The sequence below is a fragment of the Homo sapiens genome, chromosome 2 (assembly GCF_000001405.40).
Source record: "Homo sapiens chromosome 2, GRCh38.p14 Primary Assembly".
NCBI classification, from domain to species: Eukaryota; Metazoa; Chordata; class Mammalia; order Primates; family Hominidae; genus Homo; species Homo sapiens.
In genome coordinates this window covers 231,034,922-231,058,345 of record NC_000002.12, presented here as the reverse complement: position 1 = coordinate 231,058,345, position 23,424 = coordinate 231,034,922, and the positions used below count along the sequence as shown (strand labels likewise).

The window sequence follows — 23,424 nt, the reverse complement described above, 5'->3', positions numbered from 1 at the left end:
ACGGAGGTAATGGTCGAAAACAAAGCCTTAAGGCTGATATAGTAACCCAGACAAGAGATGAAGGTGGTTTGGGCCGAGTTAGAAGAAACATTGGTAATGGATGGATTTGAAATAGAATGAGGCCTATAGGTGGCAAGAAACTGAGTGTTTATTTGATCTTTACAAAGCTCTGACTGGAAAAACTTCCTGATACTGAACTAAAATTCATCTCGCGATCACTTGTATCTCTTGGGGACAAAAAGTCTTATTTCAGGTACAAGTGACAGCTCTTCAAATGTTTGAAAGTAACTACGTCTCCCAGTATCTCCAACGATCTCCTTAACCAATCCTCATAAAAATAAAGTTTTGATCGCCTTACCATTCAGATTACTGTCTTCTGCTCACCAGTTTGTTTACAATAAAATGCTTTCTTTGTGGGTCAAACACAGAGTAAGAAAATGAGAAAAGGGTATGTAAATAGGCAACGGAAAAAAGCACCAAGGCTCTGGACAGCTATATGCAAGTCAATCTGTAACGGGGAGCTTAAGTCTCCAATTGAAACTTGATCTCTGTAACTTACTCCATTGCAAATGTCACTACGTGAATCTACCTATGCAATGGTTTGCGCGTATGAAACCTGCTCCGCAGATCCATCCATTCTTTCTTGAATGTACAGTCAACAGACTGAGCACATAACCTCGAAAGGGTATAAGTAGGCTCTCAGTATAAAGGTATCTCCAGGGCGTCTTTAGGGTCTTCGCCGAACCCAAAAGTTCTCTGGGTGTTTTGAATGAACACCCTTGGATCGGACCCAGAAATGACCCACCTCAAACCTAATTTCGGGTTTCATTCTAAGGCGAATGGAGCTCGGCCACGTCCAGAAACACTTCTGTAGCAGTTAGGCTGCCCGATCAGGGGGGTTTGCCTTACTGTTCAATGGCACAGGGGCCCATCCCACCCCGGCCCCCTGCGGGCAAGAACTGGGGCTGGACGACCTCACACGGCCAAGAATGGGAGGCACAGAAAAAAGGTAAGCCCTTCTGGGGTCAGGGGAAGGCCCAGGAAGCCCCTCGGGTCCTGGCGCTGGGGTGTGATTGGGGAGGGATGCCGAGGCGGTCGACCCGGCTCGATTCCCTCAAGCCAGAGAAGCACGCAGTGACCTGATCAGACTCCCAGCCCCCCGGCCCGGGGGTGGGCCCTGGGCAGCAAGAAGCTGCCCAGGCCGGCGTTCCGCCGGGAGGCGCCCAGTCACCGGCCCTGACTCAGCTAAAAGCCGGCGCGGCGGCGGCTCCTCCCTCCAGGCGCTGGCTACGGGCCGCACTCACCGGCCGAGGTGATCATGGCTGCGCCCCTCACTCGCCCGTCGGCTCGCTCGCCGTTCCAGCTGCGCAGTGTATCTGTCAGCTCAGGGGCCGCTCAGTTCACCGCGCCTCCTTGCTCCCCGGGTGCGCTGCTCAGTCAGTCGCCTCCTCAGGCCGCCGGCTCGCTTCTCGCCAGGACCCCGCCCGCCCAGGGGCTGCCCGCCACCCCGCCTGCCGCCCGGCGCGAATTCTCCCCTGGCCTGCGTCTTCTGCGCGGCGGTATACTCCCCAGCCCTCGCGGAAGGGTACACAGAGAACACCATTGTTTTCTCTAAACCTCCTCGAGGTCAGGAGTCCCGCGCAACGGAACACTGGTCTGCACCTGAGGTCAGGCATTAGAATGGCCAGCCCTGCAAAGAGAGGACCCCCACCATCACCCGCCATTGCTGAGAGAAAGGGTGTTGAGGGGAGGTGCGAGCATTGCGCGCAGTGCCACCTACTGGTGGGAGGTCTCGCTGCAACACATCTCCCACCAGATAATGCTTAGGGAATTGGGGCTGCCGCAAACAGCGTTTTTTTTTGTTTTTTGTTTTTTTTCCCAGAAAAGTGGCTTTCAATTGTTTTCTAAAGCAAAACCTATCATAAAAAAAAGAAAATCCCCATAGAAGTGCTTTATTATCATAATGAATCCACAAGTAATCATTGGCTTATTATAAAGTTGAACAATGAAGGTTTTTACTTACTTTTGGAAAAATGTCCAGTGTTGTCAATATATTAAAATGTGCAGTAGTTATATGGCGAAAGCCTTTCCAAGGGAGAAAAAATGTCTTCCATTCTTTCCTTCTATCTGCCCAGGTCCTCTTTCCCCCGACGGCAGTGGGTTCTTCGTTTCTAATACATCTTCAGAAATTTGAAATGGCAGTTGCAATGGCCATTTGCAGTCTTATGCTAGCTTCAAGAAGTCAATTTATTTCAAGAGTCAGTACTGAGAAAGTCTTGACAAGGAATAGGGCAAACGGTAGCATTTTTTTCAGCCACCGGCCTTGCACTATCAAGCTAAACTCTTCAATCGCACAGCGATGGCGAGTTCATTTCTACGGCCTTCTACGTAACCTAGGGGCACAATCAATGTCTTGTGGTTGCCAGTGAATTAAATGTGCTTGATAACACATTTTGTTGTATCTGTGACTTTTTTTGTTTAAATTAGAATTCTTAAACTGTGGTTGTTTAAAATATATTAAATATAATTATTGAACATTTTTGAAGAGCCTGTGGCTCAGATTGAAAGGCAGGGCTCGAGAAGATGTGCATGCAAAGTAAACAGATTACTTGGGGTGTCATTCTACAGAGGTACTTCTTTTTTTTTTTTTTTGAGATGGAGTGTCCCTCTGCCACCCAGGCTGTAGGGCAATGGCGCGATCTCGGCTCACTGCAACCTCCGCCTCCTGGGTTCAAGCGATTCTCCTGCTCAGTCTCCCAAGTAGCTGGGACTACAGGTGTATGCCACCACACCCGGCTAATTTTTGTATTTTTAGTAGAGACAGGGTTTCACCATGTTAGCTAGGATGGTCTCGATCTCCTGACCTCATGATCCGCCCGCCTCGGCCTCCCAAAATGCTGGGATTAAAGATGTGAGTCACTGCACCTGGCTCTACAGAGGCACTTCTACCAAGCCCTCACATGAAGACAGTTGTATTCCCCAAACCCCTAGAGGAGTCACAAACAAATGCCAACAGGTAATGAAAATGAGTAAAGCAGGACCAGCGAAAGAAAATACAAGCTCCACAGGATGGTGAATGGCAACTAACAGTGTCAAGGAGGCACTAGGGGGTGGTGGGGACAGTGATGAAGAGTGAATTCCTGGCCGGGCGCGGTGGCTTACACCTGTAATCCCAGCACTTTGGGAGGCCGAGGTGGGCGGATCACCTGAGGTCAGGAGTTCGAGACCAAAGCCTGGCCAACATGATGAAACCCCGTCTCTACTAAAAACAAAAATTAGCCAGGTGTGGTGGCGGGCACTCGTAGTCCCAGCTACTCAGAAGGCTGAGGCAGAAGAATCGCTTGAACCCAGGAGGTGGAGGTTGCAGTGAGCCAAGATCACACCATTGCACTCCAGCCTGGCGACAGAGTGAGACTCCGTCTAAAAAGAAAAAAAAAAAAAGTGAGTGCCCCATCTAAAGAGAGCAACTGCTAAACAGAGCAACTGCTACTCAGTTCCTGCCAAGAATGCAGGGTGACTGTTGGAAGACATGTTTTTTCTAAGAGAAGCCAGAAATCAGAATTTCATGCAACATCTCCAGAATTTTACATGTTGGCTACTAATTCAACATGTTTTAAAACAGAGAGGTGGTCAACATGCCACCTCTGCTCTTCAAGGAGAAGTCATTCTGTATGAGAGGACAATCCTGTCTTCCACTTGGATGCTGTGTGTGTCATTGCCACAACCCCATGTGAGCCTCACGTGAACCTGTGAGATGGGCAAAAGGTAAGTAGCTTGGACACAGACATCAGACTTCTCCCCCCGGGAGGATTCTGTTCTCCCTCCTGAGTGACTGGCCCATGCCTGTGGCTTCTCCCTCTCCAGTCCATTCTGCATTCTTTAGCCAGAGCAATCTTTTCGAAACTCAACTCTGATTACTTCTGCTCCTTCAAATCTTCAGTCCCCATCTTGGATTCTATTTTTTTTATGTGTCTTTCTTCTGTGTTTCTGTCCATGGCCTTCTTCTCACTCCCTGCAACCCCTGTAAGAGTGAAATGCCATTGGCTGCTGTGCACAAGGTGGTGGCTCATAAAATGTGTCTCTACTGCCCTGCGCTTTCTCCTGAGCACAGACTCACACACTTCCTGGGCATCTCTGCTTGGCAGAGTCATAGGCTCCTTCAACTCAGTGACCTCAAAGTTGTGCACGCTGTTGTCGTCCCACAGTTGTGTGTTTCCTTCCTTGACCTCAGTGTGGGTGAAGGACATCCATCAGCCACTGCAACGGAAATCTGACTGTTCTCTTCTCCCACAACAGTCAGCACCAGATCTCCTCTTTAATCTCTCACACCGACCTCTCCCATCCTCACTCCATTACCCAATAGTTGCCTCTCCTTCTTCTTTCCAGACCACGACAGCCTCCTACAGCCTTGACTTCCTGCTTACAGCCCCAGAAGGCTTCAGTCCACTCTTCACAGCCAGCCAGGAGCATGATCAGAACCAACAGGAGCACGACTTTCTCCTCCAGGATGGTGGGACTGTCTTCATGTGGCTGGAGTGTGGCTCTGGCGTGCCACACTCCAGCCATCCTGAACCCCTGAAGCTCCCAGAGTGGCCACGTGGCCATGTACCTTTTCACTGCCCTTTGTACCTGCTCGTGTCTCTGTCGTCAAGGCTCGCTCCCCTACACTCCAGGCTAACACCACTTGTTTTGAGTCTCAGGCGGCACCTCCTCCAGGAAGCCTTTCTTGGCCCAGCCCACCATGGGTTCCCTTAAAGCCTTTACCCTACCCAGCTGGCATCACATCTCCTTGCCCCAGTCCCAACTAGACAAGGAACTACTCAAGAGCAACGCCACATCTTGAGTAGTTCATCTCATTGTCCGCTAGAGTAACTAGCACAGTATTGGGCACGTAATAGGTGCTCAATAAACGTTTCTCAGATGATCGGATGAACACCCGGTCATTTAGTTATTGGCACAGGGCTAGAACTCAGACCTACGGTTCTGAAACCCCCGCCCTGTCCAAGACTCTAAAATGAGCTCTATTTTTTAGGACATAGTGAAATCACGGAAAAAATTCTTAGGATGTGCTCGGTTTAGAAACAACCTCCCTCCAGAGTTGAGTGACACAAAACTTCTCAAAGCCCAATCGAGGTCAGCTGTGGCCTCACACAGGTATCGGCTGGGCTGGGGGCCGTGTCAGGGTGAAGGAAATCGTGGCGGTGCCTGGCCCTGGGTTAGGCGCTCTCTTTCCCGGCGAGGCCACCGTGGTTTCCGAGCTGCCCAGAGCATCTCCCCGCGGCGCCCGCTAGTGGGCGCAAGGCCTTCTAGGAGGCGGGCGCTCCGGAGGAAGCTGTGACCGCCCCTAGCGCACCGCGCATCCTGCAGGCATTCAAATCCCCGGGTTTTAGAAGGGCTCCGTTCTCCCGTCAAGACTCGAGCTCGACTGCCTCTTGGGCTGCACGGAGATAAGGTGGAAAAGGCAGGCCCGTGGAGCCTGGGAGCCCGGGAATCAAATCTCTGCTCTGCCACTTCGCAGCGCAGCGCTGTGGCCGCGGGCGTCCCTCGAGCCCAGCCTCTCCCGCCAAAGGGAAAGGGATGGCTGGATCCACCTACCTGGCAGGGCCGCCGGGACACGCAGCGCAGCGCTCCGCTCAATACACCACAGATTTTACGGCTACTCAGCACGAGGCTGGTGGCTGTTTCACGTACAACACACGAGCCACACGTTTTTAGAGTAAATACATTTATTCATGGGAGCAGAGATGCGAAACGCAGCCGGGTGACACGGGCCTCCCATGGGTGGGTGCTTGGTCAGAGGGAAACGCCTCACCAAGGCTGGAATTGGTCTGGGTGGACTGAGGCACGAAAGGATCGGTAAGGAACTAGGTTCTCTTCCAAGGATGGTGTCCGGGAGGGCGCATATTTTGGGCAATTGGAAGGCTGCCCTGCACAAGCCGACTGCTGGACGCTGCTGTCTTGCCCTTGCCCAAGGGTCTGGGATGACCAGCAAGCTCTGGGTGTCTGGGGAGGCAACTGCCGCAGGAATCACAATGAATCCCCAAGACAGGCCTCTCACCTGTTTCCCCTGTTTTTTGTTTGTTTTTGATACGGAGTCTCGCTCTGTCGCCCAGGCTGGAGTGCAGTGGCGCAATCTTGGCTCACTGCAACCTCTGCCTCCCGGATTCAAGCGATTCTCTGCCTCAGCCTCCCAAGTAGCTGGGACTACAGGTGCCCGCTATCACGCCCGGCTAATTTTGGTATTTTTAGTAGAGATGGGGTTTCATCATCTTGGCCAAGCTGGTGTTGAACTCCTGACCTCAGGTGATCCACCCGTCTTGGCCTCCCAAAGTGCTGTGATTACAGGCATGAGCCACCGCGCGAGGCCTCCCCTGTTCTTGAGGGGTGCTGTCCAATACAGTAGCCACCAGCCATAAGTGCTATTGAGCAGCTGCAATGTGGCTAGTGCAACTGAGGAAATGCATTCTAAACTTTAACTTTAATTAATTGAAATTTAAAAATAGATAGAAATTCCATAACTGCAAAACCTTTCAGTATTTCTGAAACAATTTGAGGATGTGAATGTTTACGACTGTACATTTAATTAAATCTAAATACAGATCAAGTTTTTCTGATGAAAATGTAGTATCTGAATTGGGCTCTAAGTGTAAACTCATGGGATTCAAAGACAATATGCAAAACAGAATGCAGAATGTCTCGATAATTTACAGTTGAAATGATATTTTAGATATATTGGGCTAAATGAAATGTATGCTTAAAATTAATTTTATCTATTTCTTTTTACTTTTTTCTAATGTGGCCACCATAGAAAGCTACCTATGTGCCTGCGTTAGATTCCTCTTAGACAGGGCTGGCTTAGACCCTCTCCTGGGCCTTCTTCCCTCTGACCTCCCATTCAGGCCTGGCCCTTTGGCTTTGCTTCAAGGTTTTGTCCGCTCTTTGGAGCTGCCATGTGCTGGGTCAGACCAGAACCGGGGGCAGAGGCTAAAGGTGAGACCCACTCCCTCCTGTCCCAGAGCAAGGGGCTGGGGGCGGGGGTTGCCCTGGCAGCCAGGAGTTCTGGAGCCGGTGATATACCTGGGACAGTGGTGGTCAGGGTGAGCTTAGGCTGGGGTTATGGTAATGGTTCAGGACAACACCCTTCTTTGAGATATTGTTAACTGGTGAGGAAGAGGAGGAGCTCAGGGCTACAAGACACAGACTAAGTTTCTGTAACCACGACTCAAAATCAGGCTTGGTCACAGGACTAAGCGAGGCACCTAATTACTCTAAGTGCAGATGAGGACAGCAACTTAAGTGCAATTACTCTAAGTGCAGATGAGGACAGCAAATTCAGAGACCCTCAAGCCTTCCTTGAGGGTCTCTGAATTTCACTGGTCAAAGAACAGGCAGTCCCCGGTCTGCATTTGTGGCAGGAGCCCCAGCTGGGGCTGGGGAGCCCAGGAAGGACACCAGAGAGGGTTCTCACCCTTGCCAAAACCACAGCCCCACAGTGGCTTCAGCACCCAGCCCCGGTTTGGACCTGAGCTACCCCACATCCTGGCCCCCACTACAGTGTGAACCATGGCATGTCCCAGGAGGGCCGTCTCTGCCTCCAGTCCCAATTAGGCAGCCCCAATATAAGGGATCCAGAGGGCTCTGGCTCAGACCAAAGGCATCTGAAGGGTCCATGTGGGATCCTGGCTATCCACCCTCTCCCTTGCACCTCATTTTTTCCTGAGCTCCAAGGTTACACAAGTGGCAGGCTGCCCAGGCCAAATTCCACGTCTGTCCCAATCCTCGATCCACTAACACACAAAACCAGGTCAGAAGCGGTTATGCAGCCCTTGGGTACAAACAGCCAGCTTCCTGCACTCACTCACTGGGCTGGCTGTGTTTGCCATACAAACAGGACAAAGTCCAGGCCTCCTGACCCCAGGGAATAAAGCCTGCAGCTTTGCTTTGCTACACTTTAAAGTACAGGCTGCTTTCAAGTTAACCAGGCAGTCCTTCGTCTTCTCCAGCAAGGCTGAATCCACAGTTCTCTGCTAGGGTAAGGGGGGCTCGTTCAGTTCAAAGGTTTGGGGACTCAGCTCCTGGCCCCTTTGCAGGGTTGCCTTAAGTTTTGGGTTTGACAACCCAGGGACTCTTGTGCACTAAGGTTTGGAGACAAACACTAGGAGAGGAGAAAAAGTGTGACCCAAATAGTAGAAAGAATTCTCTGAGACTCAGTTAAGGTTATTTTAGCTCTGGTTAAACATGCATGTGCGTGCTCACACGCTCACACACACACCATTGTATCCTAAGCTGAATGCTGTCTTTTCAAAAATCTGGCCATTGGCTCATGCCTGTCACCTCAACACTTTGGGAGGCCGAGGTGGGAGGATCACTTGAGCCCAGGAGTTTGAAACCAGCCCGAGCAACATAGTGAGACCCTGTCTCTACAAAAATTTAAAAATCATTTTTTAAATATATACTTATGCTTTCTCGCTACAGGTTTTTTAATCCCAGCTGGTACGGCAGGGGAGATGTCACCCAGGGCAGAGGCTGGGAGGCTTTCAGGCCACAGATTTCCACCATTTGCCAAGCTTCCCTGCTCTCCAGGGTCTCTCTGCAAGGAGCCCCTTAGGAGAATGAAGAAGATCCATTTTGTTTTCTATAAGATATCAACGAGGTACTTCTTGGTTTTATTAGATATGAGAATTATCAATTCAAGTCAGAAGTGCCACAACCACTGCCATATTAGAAAGATTAGTACCCGAGAGCCCAGACTGTCACCCGGCTGGAGGCCTCTCGCCGATGGCTCCCAGGGACCACTGACCTAATCAAGGGCCTCCTCCTTCACACGCCACCCTCCACCCCAACCCCTTTATGCCTTCTTAAAGTCCTTCAGGGAGGGGACCCACCATCAAGATTGTCCTTTCTGGCACCTAACTCTTCTGTCTGCTAGAAGACAGCAATGAGACTGTCCCTACAACGATGATGCTTATGGTGGCCACATCTCAAAGAAGCTGAGAGGGATCTCAGCCCCGTATTGTCACTTGGGAGGCAGAACCCAAATCTTAGTAAATGAAGACTTTCTCTCTTGAACCATTCACAGGAATACTGAAGGTAATGAAAAAATAATGTGTAAACCATCCTTTGGAGCAGAGGCTACAAACTCACATGCCCGCCTGGACCAGCACCGGGCAGACGTCTTACATGAGTGAAGTGCAGTGGGGGATGGGAAGGGCGGGGGAGGGGGTAAAGGTGGTGGGGGTGAGCCGCAGCAGACTTGAGATGACAGCATGCCCCATCCTCCACCCAGAAAACTAGGTATTTTTTATACGTAATCTCCCAAGTTTCAAATATTGGCAATACATACAAAAGGTTATGAAGCCTTATAACTTCTGCCTTAGGCAAATTCCAAACTTAAACAAAGCTCCCTCTCCCACTAAATAAGAAAACTTTAATAAGATGATTACAAAGAAATTAATAAAGAAATAGAAAATGATAGCAGCTTCAAAAATACCAGTCTCCCTGTTTTAAAACAAAATCAATAAAATCAGTGAATCACAATTCATTGAACTCATTCTTGGCTACAAGGAAGCAGCTGGATAGATCCACTGGCAGGCAGCCCTGCAGGATTAAAATGAGGCCCACTGCCAAAAAGCCCCAAATGAGATGCCGTCCTCCTCATCCTCACACCATCCTCATCAGGCAGGGAAGGAATAGGATTAGACTCCCTATTATGGAGAATAGGTTGAGGCACAGAGCAGGAAGGGCCCCTTCTTAATATCATAGAGCCCCTCTGTTGGGTCAGACCAGAACTGGGGGCAGAGGCTAAAGGTGAGACCCACTGCTGTCCAGGAGCAAGGGGCTGGGGGTAGGGGCTACCCTGGCAGCCGGGAGTTCTGGAGCCAGTGATCTAGAGCCCCCCAGCAAAACAGGTTTCCCATTGCACCATTTGGCACTATCCTGGAGAGAGCTGAAATAACAAATCAAAGTTAGGCAGCACCTTGCAGGGCACCGAGCAAATAGTAGGCGCAGTTGTGTGTCTGCTGCGTAAACTGTGCATCATGAATGAAGGGAGCTACTTCCCTCAGCTAGTGCCTCCCCTCCAGGGAAATCCAGGAGCTGCCTTTGCCATTCCGAAGACTCTGGATTTCTCCAAGGCAGGCAAAGAAGACAAGGGAGGTAATGGTGAGTTCCCTCCGTGAATAAACACATGGATTTCCCAGCTCTAAGGGAACATCATCGATTCTGTCAGACTCACGGACACAGAGGAAGGGATTCCAGAACCTCACAGAAACAGAGAGCCCGGAGGGGCTGTGTTTGCATTGAGCTTGGGCTAGGACCTGAGAGCTAGAGCAAGTCCTATACCCAGTAGTCCAAGCCCCTAGCTTTCCTTCTGTTTGGTGCCTATAGGAATTCCCTAGCATCCTTATACCCAAAGGACTTGGCACAGAAAGTCGATGTCAACATGAGAAAGAAAGAGGCTCTTTGTTCTCACCGGCATGTGTGGCTATTTCTGTCCTGGCCCTGCAGCACGCAGACCGTCTTGGCCCTGGCCCGACAAGCCCCCAAGGCAACAGTGTAGTCTTTATTTTGGCTTGCTCTGGGAGCCAAGGTCCAGGGAAGCCTGACCCTCTCTGCTCTGGGGGACTCTGACAGGGAGAAGGCATTGGCTCAGCCAGAATGTCTCAAAGGTACTACAATTGGCATTGAATGGACCAATTCTTTGCTGTCAGAGACTGTTCTGCACATTGTGGGATGCCCACTAGATGCCAGGGGTGCCCCCACAGTCACTGTGACCCCCTCAACACACACACATTTCCAATGCTGCCTGGAGGGACAACCTGCCCCTGGTTTAAAGCCACTGGGCTGGTGGCCCCCTCATGCATTTGTGAAACAGAAGCCCCAGAGACTGAGTGACATGTTCAAGGCCATGCCTCAGCTCTGATGACTTCTGGTTCAGAGTTCTTCCCAGCTGCACTCTCAACGATGGGTGCCCATGCATGTGCCCAGAACACTGCAGACACACCATGGGGTGCCACAGCTCTGCAGAGCCTCAAAGCGGACAGCCATCTGTCTCAGTGGCTCAGAGAAACCGAGACAGAGAGACAAAATAACCTCCCTGTGATCAGACTTAGCAAATGCTGGGTGGGGAGTAGGTTCCCAGGGGAGACACTGTTTTAGGTCCTGCTTGTCTTAGTAAGCCCCACTGTCTAGCTGGTAACTGTGAGTGTGGCAGGCCTCCAGCAGGCGGGGGTTTCTGCAGTCTCCATGGAGACCTGGGGGCCAGTAAGACGGAGCCAGGCCCCAGTCTGTAGGTTAGAGCCAGGGACAGCGCAAGGGTCCAGCCTTCATCTTGAGTCTCCGGTGGGCTCAGCAGGAGTGTGTACGACTCCATCACAGGCTTTTGACCCCCTTCCAAGGTCATCACAGTCTCCATTGGGAAATATGGCTGTTAGTGGCAGCTCCTCCTCAGGTTCCTGGAAGTCTTCTGGAACACAGGAGAAGAAATCACTGAATCAGAAGAGAAAGGTTGTGAGTGAGTTATCTAGGAAGGAAAAGGAGAAAGTTGTCCCCAGCAAATACCTACTTAAAAAACAAAACAAAATACATATCAAAAACCTTAACGATGTACACACCCTTTGACCCACAAATTTCACTTCTAGGATTTTATCCTAAGAAAATAATTAGGAATAATTAGTGGAACTGCTGGAGCTATCTTGCTACCAGCCTAAGGATGAAACTGACACTGAAGATGGCCCAACAGAGAGAAAGAGCAAACCTGGGTGTTTGGTGGGGTCCCTGAGCCCCTGAATCAACCAACTCTGAAGCCGACTCCATCTCTGGACTGTCTTTTAGGTGAGATAATGATTTCTCTTACTGCTTGTGCTCATGTGTGTCATGGTATCTTTACTTGCAGTTGAAAGTGTCCCGATTCCATGTCCAACAATGGGACTGGTTGAGTGAACTATGGCTCACACATATAATGGGATTCAGGTATTAAAGACAATATATAAAATTCCACAGACCTAAACACACACACACACACACACACACACACACACACACACACACACACACTGCATAGAAGTAAAATTGGGGAAATCCGAATAAGATCTGTGGATTACGTCAGTGTCAATATCCCGTTTGTGCTATTGCACTATAGTTTTGCAAAATGTTACCATTGGGGGAAACTGGGCAAAGTATACACAGGATCTCTCTGGGTGATCTCCCTTTTTGTTTTTTGAGACAGGGTCTCACTATGTCACTCATGCTGGTCTTGAACTCCTGAGCTCAAGCTATCCCCCTGCCTCGGCCTCGCAAAGTGCTGGGATTTCTGTATGATTTCTTGCCACTGCATGTTAATTTAGAATTACCTCAAAAAAGAAAATATGTTGTTGACATATAATTATTGCTGTGGAAGGCAGTTATAGTATGTTATTGATGAAGAAAGCAGATTCCAAAACAGTAAGTACAGTCACGTGCAACATAATGACATTTTGGTCAATTACGAACCTTAATAAGAGAGTGGTCCCATAAGACTGAAACACAGCTGGCCGGGCGCCGTGGCTCACGCCTGTAATCCCAGCACTTTGGGAGGTCAAGGCGGACAGATCACGAGGTCAGGAGATCGAGACCATCCTGTCTAACATGGTGAAACCCCGTCTCTACTAAAAATACAAAAAATTAGCTGGGCGTGGTGGCGGGAGCCTGTAGTCCCAGCTACCTGGGAGGCTGAGGCAGGAGAATGGCGTGAACCTGGGAGGCGGGGCTTGCAGTGAGCCAAGACGTGCCACTGCACAGTGCAGCCTGGGTGACAGAGCTAGACTCTGTCTCAAAAAAAAAAAAAAAAAAAAAAAAAGATTGAAACACAGCTAAAAAATTCCTGTCACCTAGTAACCTTGTAGTTGTCCTGATGTTGCAGTGCAATGCATTACTCACATGTTTGTGGCAATGCTGGTGGAAACAACCTAACTCGCTGCCAGTCATGTAAAAGTCTAGTACATACAATTATATACAGTAGACAATACTTGATAATAATAAGAAATGACTATGTTACTGTACTGTCTCTCTCTCTCTCTATATATATAAAATTATTATTATTTTTTGAGATGGAGTCTTGCTCTGTTGCCCAGGCTGGAGTGCACTGGCGAAATCTCTGCCCACTGCAACCTCCGCCTCCCAGGTTCAAGCAGTTCTCCTGCCTCAGCCTCCCGAGTAGCTGAGATTACAGGCGTGTGCCACCACGCCCTGGCTAATTTTTGTATTTTTAGTAGAGATGGGGTTTCACCATGTGGGCCAGGCTGGTCTGGAACTCCTGACTTCAGGTGATCCGCCAGCCTCGGCCTACTATATGTTTTAACATTATTTTAGAGTGTACTCCCTCTACTTATATGTGTGTGTGTGTGTATATATATATATATATAAAGATATATATACACACACACGTATATAAAGTTTATATATATATATAGTTAATTGTAAAACTGCCTCAGGCAAGCCCTTCAAGAGGTATCCAGAAGAAGGCATTGTTTATCATAGGAGGTGACAGCTCCATGTGTGTTATTGTCCCTGAAGACCTTCCAGTGGGACAAGATGTGGAAGCAGAAGACAGTGATACTGATGATCCTGACCTTGTGTGTAGGTGTAGGCTAAGGCGCATGTTTGTGTCTTAGTTTTTAGCAAAAAAAAAAAAAAAAAAAAAATTAAAATAGGAAAAAGCCTACTAAATAAGGATATAAAGAAAGAAAATATTTTTGTACATTTCTACAATATTTTGTGTTTTAAGCCAAGTATTACTACAAAAGAGTGAAAAAGCTTTTAATAATTTAAAAAGGTGGTTTTTGTTTGTCTGTTTGTTTGTTTTGAGACAGTCTCACTATGGTGTGCAGGCTGCAGTGCAATGGCAGGAGTACGGATCACTGTAGCCTCGAACTCTTGGGCCCGAGCCATCCTCCTGCCTCAGCCTCTGGAGTAGCAGGGTCTACAGGCACGCGCCATCATGCCTGGCCAAAAAATCAAAAAGCTTATAAAGTAAAAAAGTTACAGTAAGCTAAGGTTAATTTATTATTGAAGAAAGAAATATTTTAAAATAAATGTAGTGTAGCCTAAGTGTACTGCGTTTATATAGTCGACAGTAGTGCACAGCAATGTCCTAGGTCTTCCCATTCACTCACCACTCACTCGCTGACTCACCCAGAGCAACTTCCAGCCTTGAAAACTTCATTCATGGTAAGTGTCCTATGCAGATGTACCATTTTTTGATCTTTTATAGCATATTTTTACTGCACCTTTACTATGTTTAGGTATGTTGAGACACACAGCTACTTACCATTGTGTTACAGTTGCCCACAATATTCAGGACAGTAACCTGCTGTACAGGTTTGTAGCCTAGGAACGATAGGCTATGCCGCATAGCATAGGCATGTAGTAGGTTATACCATCCAGGTTTCTAAGTACACTCTATCGTGTTCACACAACAAAAATCCCCTAAAGATGTATTTTTCAGAATGTATATCCCTGTCATTAAGCAACTCATGATTGTATAAATGCATGTAATTATGATATCCTATATTTATCATATGCTATCAATGTGTGTACATAGTCCATAAATGCCATTTGCATTTTAATACATTCACTTCTATATGAGATTTGTACATACCACAGAGAGAGAAATTATCCAAGATTTATGTAAAATGGTTAATGATTCTGTTGCTTCATCTTTTCTCCTTTAGTTTCCAAGTATATCCAAAATGATGGTGGAGAGGTTGAAGTTAGCATTTTTGCAATTAAACATTTTAAATATCTACTGCATTTTGAAGATGATATAGAAGTGAGTTTATTAAATTTTAAAGAGCACAAGGAGAGATAGGTAAATAGAATGGCGTACCCCAAAATATAATTGTAGTTATCTCTGAATGATGGAATTAAGTGAATGATGTTTCACATTTGTTTTCTTTCTTTTTTTTTTTTGTACTTTTTTTTGAGTTTTCAAACATGACAGGCAGAATTCTAAGACAGCCCCCAAGATTCTGGCCCCTTATAAAGCCCTTCCTTGAGTCTGGATGGGCTCTGTGAATGTGATAGCTTAGTCACTCTGGGGAGTAGGTTGTCTCTCTGACAAATGCAATGGCTAGTGACTACCTTGACTCCTTAGGTTATGTGGACTCCCTCCTAGCAGACTGGAGAGCGGGGTTCTCCTGCTGATTGAAGGAGGATCTCTTGTGAGAGGGCTTGTGAGAGCAAGGAATGGCAGGGGCCTCTTGGAGCTGAGAGCAGCCCCAGCTGACAGCCAGCAAGAAGTCAGACACCTAATCAATGCCTTTGAAGCTGCTAAGCTTGTGATTATTTATTTATTTATTTATTTTGAGACGGAGTTTCACTCTTGTTGCCTAGGCTGGAGTGCAATGGCACAACCTTGGCTCACTGCAACCTCCACCTCCGGGGTCCAAGCAGTTCTTCTGCCTCAGCCTCCCAAGTAGCTGGGATTACAGGCATGTGCCACCACACCCGGCTAATTTTGTATTTTTAGTAGAGATAGAGTTTCACCATGTTGGTCAGGCTGGGCTTGAACTCCTGACCTCAGGTCATCTGCCCACCTTGGCCTCCCAAAGTGCTGGGATTACAGGCATGAGTCACCATGCCCAACCTACTTGCGATCATTTCTTATGCAGCAATGAAGACTGACACATCAACTAATGGTTTTCTTTCTTAAATGAGAGACACAATGAAAGTTAATTTTGAACCACCATCCATTGTTTCTGTAACAAAGCTATACTTCTCAGTGCACTTTGGGATGGGCTGTGTGCATTCAGCAGGCTACACCATGCTTCCGAGTACTGTAGCCACCCCCATCCATGGCGTCACTATCCGCAGTTTCAGTTACCTGCGGTACAGTCCAATAAGATATTTTCAGAGAGATACCTCATTCCTGTAACTTTTGTTATATATTGTTAAATGTCTTAACTGTGCCTAGTTTATAAATTAAGCTTTATCGTAGGTATATATGTACAGTAAAAAACACAGTGTATACGTAGGGCTTGGTGCTACCCATGGTTTTAGGCATCCACAGGTGTCTTAAAGCATCTCACGTGGATAAGGGGGGGATCAGTGCGCTTCCTATCTCTCTAACATCAGCATTGACATGGAGGGGTGTCTTCCCCTTCCCCTTCTCCCTCATTTCCATTTAGTGGCCTGATGATTCCACCTAGGAGTGGCTCCGGGTGAGTTTTCTCCCCTCCATTCCCACTGCCCAGGTCGGGCCCAGGCCGCCTGTTATCCCTCCTGGGACACGACAGCCTCCTCCTAGGTGGGCTCTGCCGAGGTGTCTCCCTCTCCTAGAGTCCATCTCTCTAAACACACCCCAATCTCTCTGCTCAGAAATCGCTCATGGCACACTACTCCTGAAGGCTGCACATCTGGGACACTGATTTGGTCCAAACTCTTCCCTTCAGCCTTGGCCCTCACTGGTTTCCTTCTGCACCTCACTCCCAGGGCCTCTCGAAGGTGGTCCCTTTTCTGAGCATGACATCATGCTGTCACTCCTTAGCTCAGTGCTCCTTTTCCAAAACTTCCCATTTCTGCCTACGAAAATCCCTCCATCCCCGGATCAAATATCACTTGCTCTAGGATACTCCCTGGACCCTCCAGGGAGACTTGCTGTGTTTGGTCCCATGCACGTCCCATGCACCCCACCATGCTCCTGGAGACACCTTTGTTACAGCCCTCCCCATACTGCCTTCATTAGGTGGAGACTCCTGGGGAAAGAGCCCAGCCTGACCGAGCCCATGTGCCCACTGCCTGGCATATGGGCACCTCACATTGCTCATCCCCACACCTGGCACATGGCAAGCACTCCATAGATGTTGGTCCACTCTGTCCCTAAGGTCCCCAAGTTCACGTGACCACTCCCATAATTCCATGCACCTGGCCCTCAGGATGCAGGAGGTCGGGGAGCACTCACCCTGAGCTGAGCTTCTGCAGGCAGCAACATCCTGGTTCTTCCTCCGGCTCCAGGGACCCCAGGAAAAGCAGGCTAGCAGTCCGGGGAGGCCTGGCCTCTCCCAGGCTCCTTCCACTAGGAAGAACACAAAACCTGAGTCAGAGGGTCACATGGTTCCCACTTCACAAGACTGAGAGATTTCGTTTAGCAAATCAAGTGCCCCAACGGTCAACTGCCCTAGTTTCAACTGTCTGATTAAAAACACAGAGTCTGATTTGCAAAAGTGGGTGGGTTTTTAAAACCGAACTTTAAAAATGATTGCTTTACTTTTATCTATGTTATCTCATTTAATTCTTACAAAAGCCCTGTGATGTAGGTACCATGTTGAGGAAATAAAGCAATGAAAATGACATGAAATTAATTACAATTACATAGCACCAAACAAAATACTCAAAGAGCTGCACGTTCCCTCTGATTTTAGTTCAAACTATTTCTTGGCAGGAATAGATACATTTTTTAGTAATCTATAAAGTCAACAGGAACTAGGTTGTTTATTTTATTTATTTATTTATTTTTAAAAGACTTCAGGCAACCAAAACAAGGAAAATCCTTGTTCATAATCTTTATTCAGGACCAATTTACTCTTAACCCGCACCCAAAGGTAAAGAGACTGTATCCTTAGTTTTTCAACCCAAAGGCAGCTGGATTAGGTACCACGAACTGGGTAAAAGGGCACTGCCAAAAGGCAAGCAACCTAGAATAAGAATTATCATCAGACGGTGAGGAAAGAAATTGGAAAACTTTAAAAAAACAGATCCAACCACTAGCGAAATCTTAGTGACATGAATCCATTTGGTGTGAAGATAATAGTTCTGCCCACTGCAAAAGCTGCAAAGAAATCAGTGGGCTATAAGTTATAATTCCACTCACGACCTTTAGTCATTTGCGAGAGGTTTAATTTTGTTCAGTATGTTTTTATAAAAGTAGGAAAGCGCTTAACATAGAGAACAATTCCCTTGCAAAGTGTTAAAATCTCAAAAGTATTAGTGTTTATTTAAAAGGAAGGGAGGATTCATTCACTCTGTCTGCATGCCAGGCAGGGTATCAGGAAATGGGACTGCAGATGGTGTTTAAACCCACAAGGGAACAAAATCATGTTCACAAGGGAACGAAATCATGTGGTAAGAGCTCAGAGAGCAAAGGGATAAAGGGTTCTGGGATTTCGCCAGTGAACTTGCAAGTGGGAGCAGGGAAGGTCAAGGGAGGCTTCCCGGAGGAGGAAGTCCAGTTCTGAATGCACAAATGGGATTGGCCAGGTGAGGAGGAGGGAGGAGAAAAGGCTCTTCAGGCTCAGGCAACAGCAATGTGTCTACAAAAAGCTTAGGAGGGACAGGGCGTGGTAGTTCATGCCTGTAATCCCAGCACTTTGGGAGGCCAAAGTGGGTGGATCACTTGAGGTCAGGAGTTCGAGACTAGCCTGGTCAATATGGCGAAACCCCGTCTCTACCAAAAAAACAAAAATTAGCTGGGTGTGGTGGCAGACGCCTGTAGTCCTAGCTACTTGGGAGGCTGAGGCAGAAGAATTGCTTGAGACTGGGAGGCAGAGGTTGCAGTGAGCAGAGATCGCATCATTGCACTCCAGCCTGGGCAACAAAGAGAGACTTCATCTAAAAAAAAAAAAAATGCATGCACTCATTAGGGTATAGAAAATGTGTGTGAATTCCCTTCTTTCTATTGGAGGCCTGGTCAGCAAAGGGGTTGAAACAAAAATCAGAACAATCACAGCCTCAACAAAAAAATGGATTGCACCCTAAGGGAGGAGGGTTAGGGCAGGCGCGCTCGCCCAGGCAGGCCAGGCTGGCAGGTGAATGTGACATTGGCAGCATCACAGGTGACAGGTCTCCTTGCTGGGACCCTCCGCCCCCCAACCAACGCCAATACTCCAGGAGACACACAATACAGCCACTTTCTTCATTATCTACTTAAGAGGAAGGGGCTGGAGGGCTTGAAGGGCTGCCCAGCTGGGCAGGGAGAGAAAGCTGGGAGCTGGAGAGTGCAAAGATCTCCCGGGTTTGCCAGATGCAGCTACTCTTTTTTTTTTTTTTTTTTAATACTTTAAGTTTTAGGGTACATGTGCACAACGTGCGGGTTTGTTACATATGTATACATATGCCATGTTAGTGTGCTGCACCCATTAACTCGTCATTTAGCATTAGGTATATCTCCTAATGCTATCCCTCCTCCCTCCCCCTACGCCACAACAGTCCCTGGTGTGTGATGTTCCCCTTCCTGTGTCCATGTGTTCTCATTATTCAATTCCCACCTACGAGTGAGAACATGCTGTGTTTGGTTTTTTGTCCTTGCGATAGCCAGATGCAGCTACTCTTAATGTGCATATTTTCATCCTAGAACATTGGAGAGTTCCTGTAAAGCCTTGTGTTCCAGGAGGAAGGAGATCCTGACCCTTCTGCTGATGGCAGCAGTCACGGGGGCTGGGAAAAGACCCTTAAATCCCTTCCACCTTTCAGGAGAATGTGGAGGGAAAAGGTGGCCTCAGCAGACCTGGGGGAGGCTGAGGGACACAGCAGTTGGGTGCACAGCCTTGGTGGGTGGCCAGAAATCAATAGAAAATGTACTCTTAGTCCCTCTCACCTCCCCACACGTCAAGTCCCGAGCACCCATTCCTTGCCCTCTTCCTAAAACCAGGCAGGGCTTCCAGGACGAGCCTCCACCGCGCTGGAGATGCCCCTCCGCCCCTCCTAGAGCTCCCGACGCATCTCTGGCTGCGCAGCGCCCTAGAATTTAGCTTCTGGCACCGCCAATCTCCTTAGCACCCATCCACCCCCTTGAAACTTTCCCATCCCAAGGCTTTCCCATTTCCTTCCCCACTCCTCTTCTCTCCCCACCCCCACCCACCCCGTAACTCCTAGATCTCGGCCTTGCCCGATTCATCCCTTCTCTCTACCCACTCCCTCTGCCTTCTACTCGGCCCCTCAGCTTTCCCACGCCCCCTAGGCATCTCCCGTGCACTCCGGACCCTTCCGGGACAGACTCGATCCGCTACGCACGGCCCGCTCTCCGCTAGCTGCGAGGCCTGGCTCTAGGCACCTCCCTGCTCTGAGCCTCAGTTTACCTCGGTGCTCAATAAGGGAATGGCCAAAGGGGTCCAACTTGGGGGACGTGCCCGAGCCACCGCCCGCCCGCGCCCAGCCGGGCCCCGCGCAGTCTCACCTGGTTGCCCGGCTCCGGCGGCTTGCAGGGCCCTGCAGGCGGCCGCCTGGACGGCCAGGCAGGAGGCCGGGAGGCCGGGGCAGTAGGCGGCCGCCTGCACGGGCCCCCCCGCCTGGCGGCCGAACACGGCGCGCAACAGCGCCTCCAGCAGCCGCAGCCCCGGCGCCACCGCGTCCTCTGGCCCGGCCTCGGCCACCAGCACCCCGACCAGCGCCGCCCCGGCCCGCCGCCGGCCGCGCACGTCCCGCAGCATCTCCCGCAGGCGGCGCCGCGGCTCCCGGGCGGCCAGCGACGACGCGCGGCACAGCACGAAGACCAGCGGCGAGCGGATGGCGCGCGCCGCCGCCGCCGCCGCCCCCGCCGCCCCAGCCGCCCTCGCCGCCCTCTGCGCCCCGCGCGCCGCCCCGGGCCCCGCGCCCTCTGCCGCCGCGCCGCCCGGCTTGGCCGCGCCTGGCTCCGGCGGGAACACCGCCCGTGCGAAGTCCCGCAGCAGCGCGCGGCTCTGTTCGCGCTCCCACAGCTCGCCCACCAGCAGCACCTGCCCGCGGCCCCCCGCCGCTTCCACCAACGCCTGGAAGGGCGGCTCGGCAGGGCGCGCAAGCCGGGCCGCCAGCGCCTCCAGCTCGCGCTCCATGCTGGCCGCCGCCCGCCCTCTGCGGCCGCCGCGGCCCGGGCGCACCCGCTGCCCGCCTCTCGGGGCGGTGGCGCCCCGGCACAGAGGACACGCCCCCGAGGGCCGAGCCCAGCCGGACCCCCGGGCCCCCGGGCGGGGCCTCTGTGTGCACGCGCCCCTGGGCGCAGCCCGCATCGCGGGCCCGGGTGGGAGGAAGAGGGCTTTCTCCTCAGCCCTCCAAGGGTGGCTCCTCCCGAAGTCCCTGCGCAGACGCGGGGAAACAGAGAGTCATTCATTCATTCATTTGTTCGTCCATCCCACACATACTTACTGCGCACCTACTATGTGCAGGCGCTGGGCAGCCGAGGTTGGGAAGACAGACAATTATCCCCTCACTAGATAAGATCGTTTGGAGACCTGGAGCAGAGTCCTGCACAGTTTGGGGTCTTGCCGAGGTGGGGTGGGAGGTAGGGGGGTAGGGGGCGGAGGGCGCAGAAGTGGGTAGGAAGGTGAGATAAAAGAGAACACGCAGGGGTTATTTCTGCCACCCAGCTTTCCTTTTGGGCTTCAACATTTAGCAAAAACTGACCGAGGGTCCATTATTTCCACAAATACTTATTGTACCACCCCAGGCGCTGGGGTTGAAACCCAGACTGTTTCCGTAAAGCAGAAAGTCTAGGGGGCCAGATGCAGGACACGGATGGTGCTCTGATCTGCGTGGGGAGCAAGGGGCCAGCCAGGTCAGAAGCAGGAATGCATTTCCCTTCCTTCTAAGGATCTAGGTCAGCCTTGTCCAATAGAACATTCTGTGATGATGGAAAACTTTTTTATTGTCTGCACCATATGTGACTATTATTGAGTACCTGAAATCTGGCGAGTGCAACTGAAGAACTGAGTATTACATTTCACGTAATTTGTAATGAAATGTAAAATTAAAGCAGAAAGTGACAAGATGATAATGTACTTAAAGGGCTGGCACCTTTCTCTGAATAGTACCCTAAAGACGCCGCAGAAGCAAGAGGGGAGTTGGTAAGGACTCTGAGAAACCAATGTAAAACCAGGGAAGGCCTGTCGCCTCCTCCCCTCAGTGCCATAGAAGGGGGATAGGCTGAGTGAACGCTATACACTTGTGCTCTTTTCTTTGCTTGCATTGGCCTGAGTAGACCATTTCTCAACCCCATCTCCCCAGCACTGCTGGGAGGCAGAAAACAGCTGTGCTAGCCAGGGATGGCATATCAGGCTGGGGCTAGCAGCACAGAAAAACCAGACCCGGCAGCCTCTTCTTCCCACTTCATGGGTCAGGAATTCCAACCACGAGACCTGCCTCATGAAAGAGGATTGGCCAGGGGAGAGTGCCCAGAAGCTCCCTGAGTGGGGTGTCTGGTGTGTGTGAGGGTGGCACATGGGGAGTGGCTACATTCACATTTGATGCCAGAGGCAAGTCCCATCACACCCCCATTCCTTAAGCTCCCAGGTGGGATATATAGGAAGAGCCTAGGTTTTAGTCTCTTCCAGGTGTACCTATCGCCAACCAAAGTAGCTGATATCTAGGGAAACATGAATTCACTGGGAAAAATAATTAGACTTCTGGGGCCGGGCGCTGTGGCTTGTGTCTGTAATCCCAGCACTTTGGGAGGCCAAGGCAGGTGGATCACCTGAGGTCGGGGATTGGAGGCCAGCCTGACCAACATGGAGAAACCCAGTCTCTACTAAAAATACAAAATTAGCCAGGCATGGTGGTGCATGCCTGTAGTCCCAGCTACTTGGGAGGCTAAGGCAGGAGAATGGCTTGAACCCAGGAGGTGGAGGTTTTGGTGAGCTGAGATCGTGCCATTGCACTCCAGCCTGGGCATCAAGAGCGAAACTCTGTCTCAAAAAATAAATAAATGAATAAAATAAAATAAAAAATAAAAAACAGTTAGGCTTCTGGAAAGTATAAAACAAAGCAGGTTTAATGGATATATGAATTAAGATTCATTTCTTAATAACACAGACAACACTAATAACAATGAAAATTTCTTTTTCTCTTTTGTAGACGTTTGGGGATGGACAGTTTATGGCTGAAATAGTATAATAGTTCTGCTTTACTAGGTGTTTGAAGACTCAGATTTCATACCAAGTCACTATTGCCCTCTGACATCTTCATAATCCAAATTGGCTGCTAAAGCTTGGGCCATCACACCTGTATTCCCAGAAGCTGGGTAGTAGAAGGACTGAGGAAGGAACAAAAATCTGGTTGACTTCAGATTTCTTAGCAACAACATTGGGTTTAAGAAAAAATGGAAAAATTGTTTTAAAGTATCAAAGAAAAATAACTTTGACCCTAGATTTGGATTTCTAGCTAAATTATCAGGTATATAAAGAATCAGAAGGCGTATCACATATAGCCCCTCTTTGAAAACACTATTGGAGGAAGTGCCCTATCAAAAAGGGAACTAAATCTGGCTGGGCATGGTGGCTCACTCCTGTTACCCCAGCACTTTGTAGACTGAGGCTGGCAGATCATCTGAAGTCAGGAGTTCAAGACCAGCCTGGCCAAAATGGTGAAACCCCGTCTCCAATAAAAATACAAAAATTAGCTGGGCATGGTGGTGTGTGCCTGTAATCCCAGCTACTTGGGAGGCTGAGGCAGGAGACTCGCTTGAACCCAGGAGACGGAGGTTGC

The 23,424-nt window shown here is 49.6% G+C and overlaps 2 protein-coding genes and 1 long non-coding RNA gene across 7 annotated transcripts in view, besides 2 other annotated features; 1 reads left to right on the top strand and 2 right to left on the bottom strand.

Annotated features, from left to right (window-relative positions):
- The window catches only part of PSMD1 (proteasome 26S subunit, non-ATPase 1), a 115,961-nt gene extending 114,482 nt beyond the window's left edge, over positions 1-1,479 (bottom strand). For all 4 annotated transcript variants that reach the window (NR_034059.2, NM_002807.4, NM_001191037.2 and 1 more), the window contains exon 1: positions 1,305-1,479. Coding sequence is in view for 3 of the 4 variants with exons in the window: in NM_002807.4 (NP_002798.2) it covers positions 1,305-1,320 (16 nt within the window). In the remaining variant the exon portion in view is untranslated. The remainder of the gene's footprint in view (positions 1-1,304) is intronic.
- Positions 600-9,470, top strand: LOC112268432 (uncharacterized). The gene is made up of 2 exons (XR_002959456.2): positions 600-1,009; positions 4,387-9,470. It is a non-coding gene; the product is annotated as an uncharacterized LOC112268432 (long non-coding RNA).
- Positions 1,389-1,578: a silencer, noted in NCBI's record as "silent region_12423". NCBI's record gives its function as "represses an Ori minimal core promoter by ATAC-STARR-seq in GM12878 lymphoblastoid cells {active_cell/tissue: GM12878}" and the evidence as "EXISTENCE:reporter gene assay evidence [ECO:0000049][PMID:35858748]".
- Positions 5,424-5,483: an enhancer, noted in NCBI's record as "active region_17274". NCBI's record gives its function as "activates an Ori minimal core promoter by ATAC-STARR-seq in GM12878 lymphoblastoid cells {active_cell/tissue: GM12878}" and the evidence as "EXISTENCE:reporter gene assay evidence [ECO:0000049][PMID:35858748]".
- Positions 8,627-20,823, bottom strand: C2orf72 (chromosome 2 open reading frame 72). Of its 2 annotated transcripts, none has more exons than NM_001144994.2 (3): positions 20,147-20,823; positions 16,937-17,050; positions 8,627-11,464 (listed from the first exon to the last, which is right to left on the bottom strand). In NM_001144994.2, the coding sequence occupies exons 1-3, from the start codon at positions 20,778-20,780 to the stop codon at positions 11,325-11,327; spliced, it is 888 nt and encodes a 295-aa protein (NP_001138466.1). In that variant the 5' UTR covers positions 20,781-20,823; the 3' UTR covers positions 8,627-11,324. The 2 variants fall into 2 exon arrangements, with proteins under 2 accessions (NP_001138466.1, XP_047299832.1); XM_047443876.1 differs by having other exon boundaries at positions 9,408-11,487.
- Between the last annotated feature and the right edge of the window lie 2,601 nt (positions 20,824-23,424).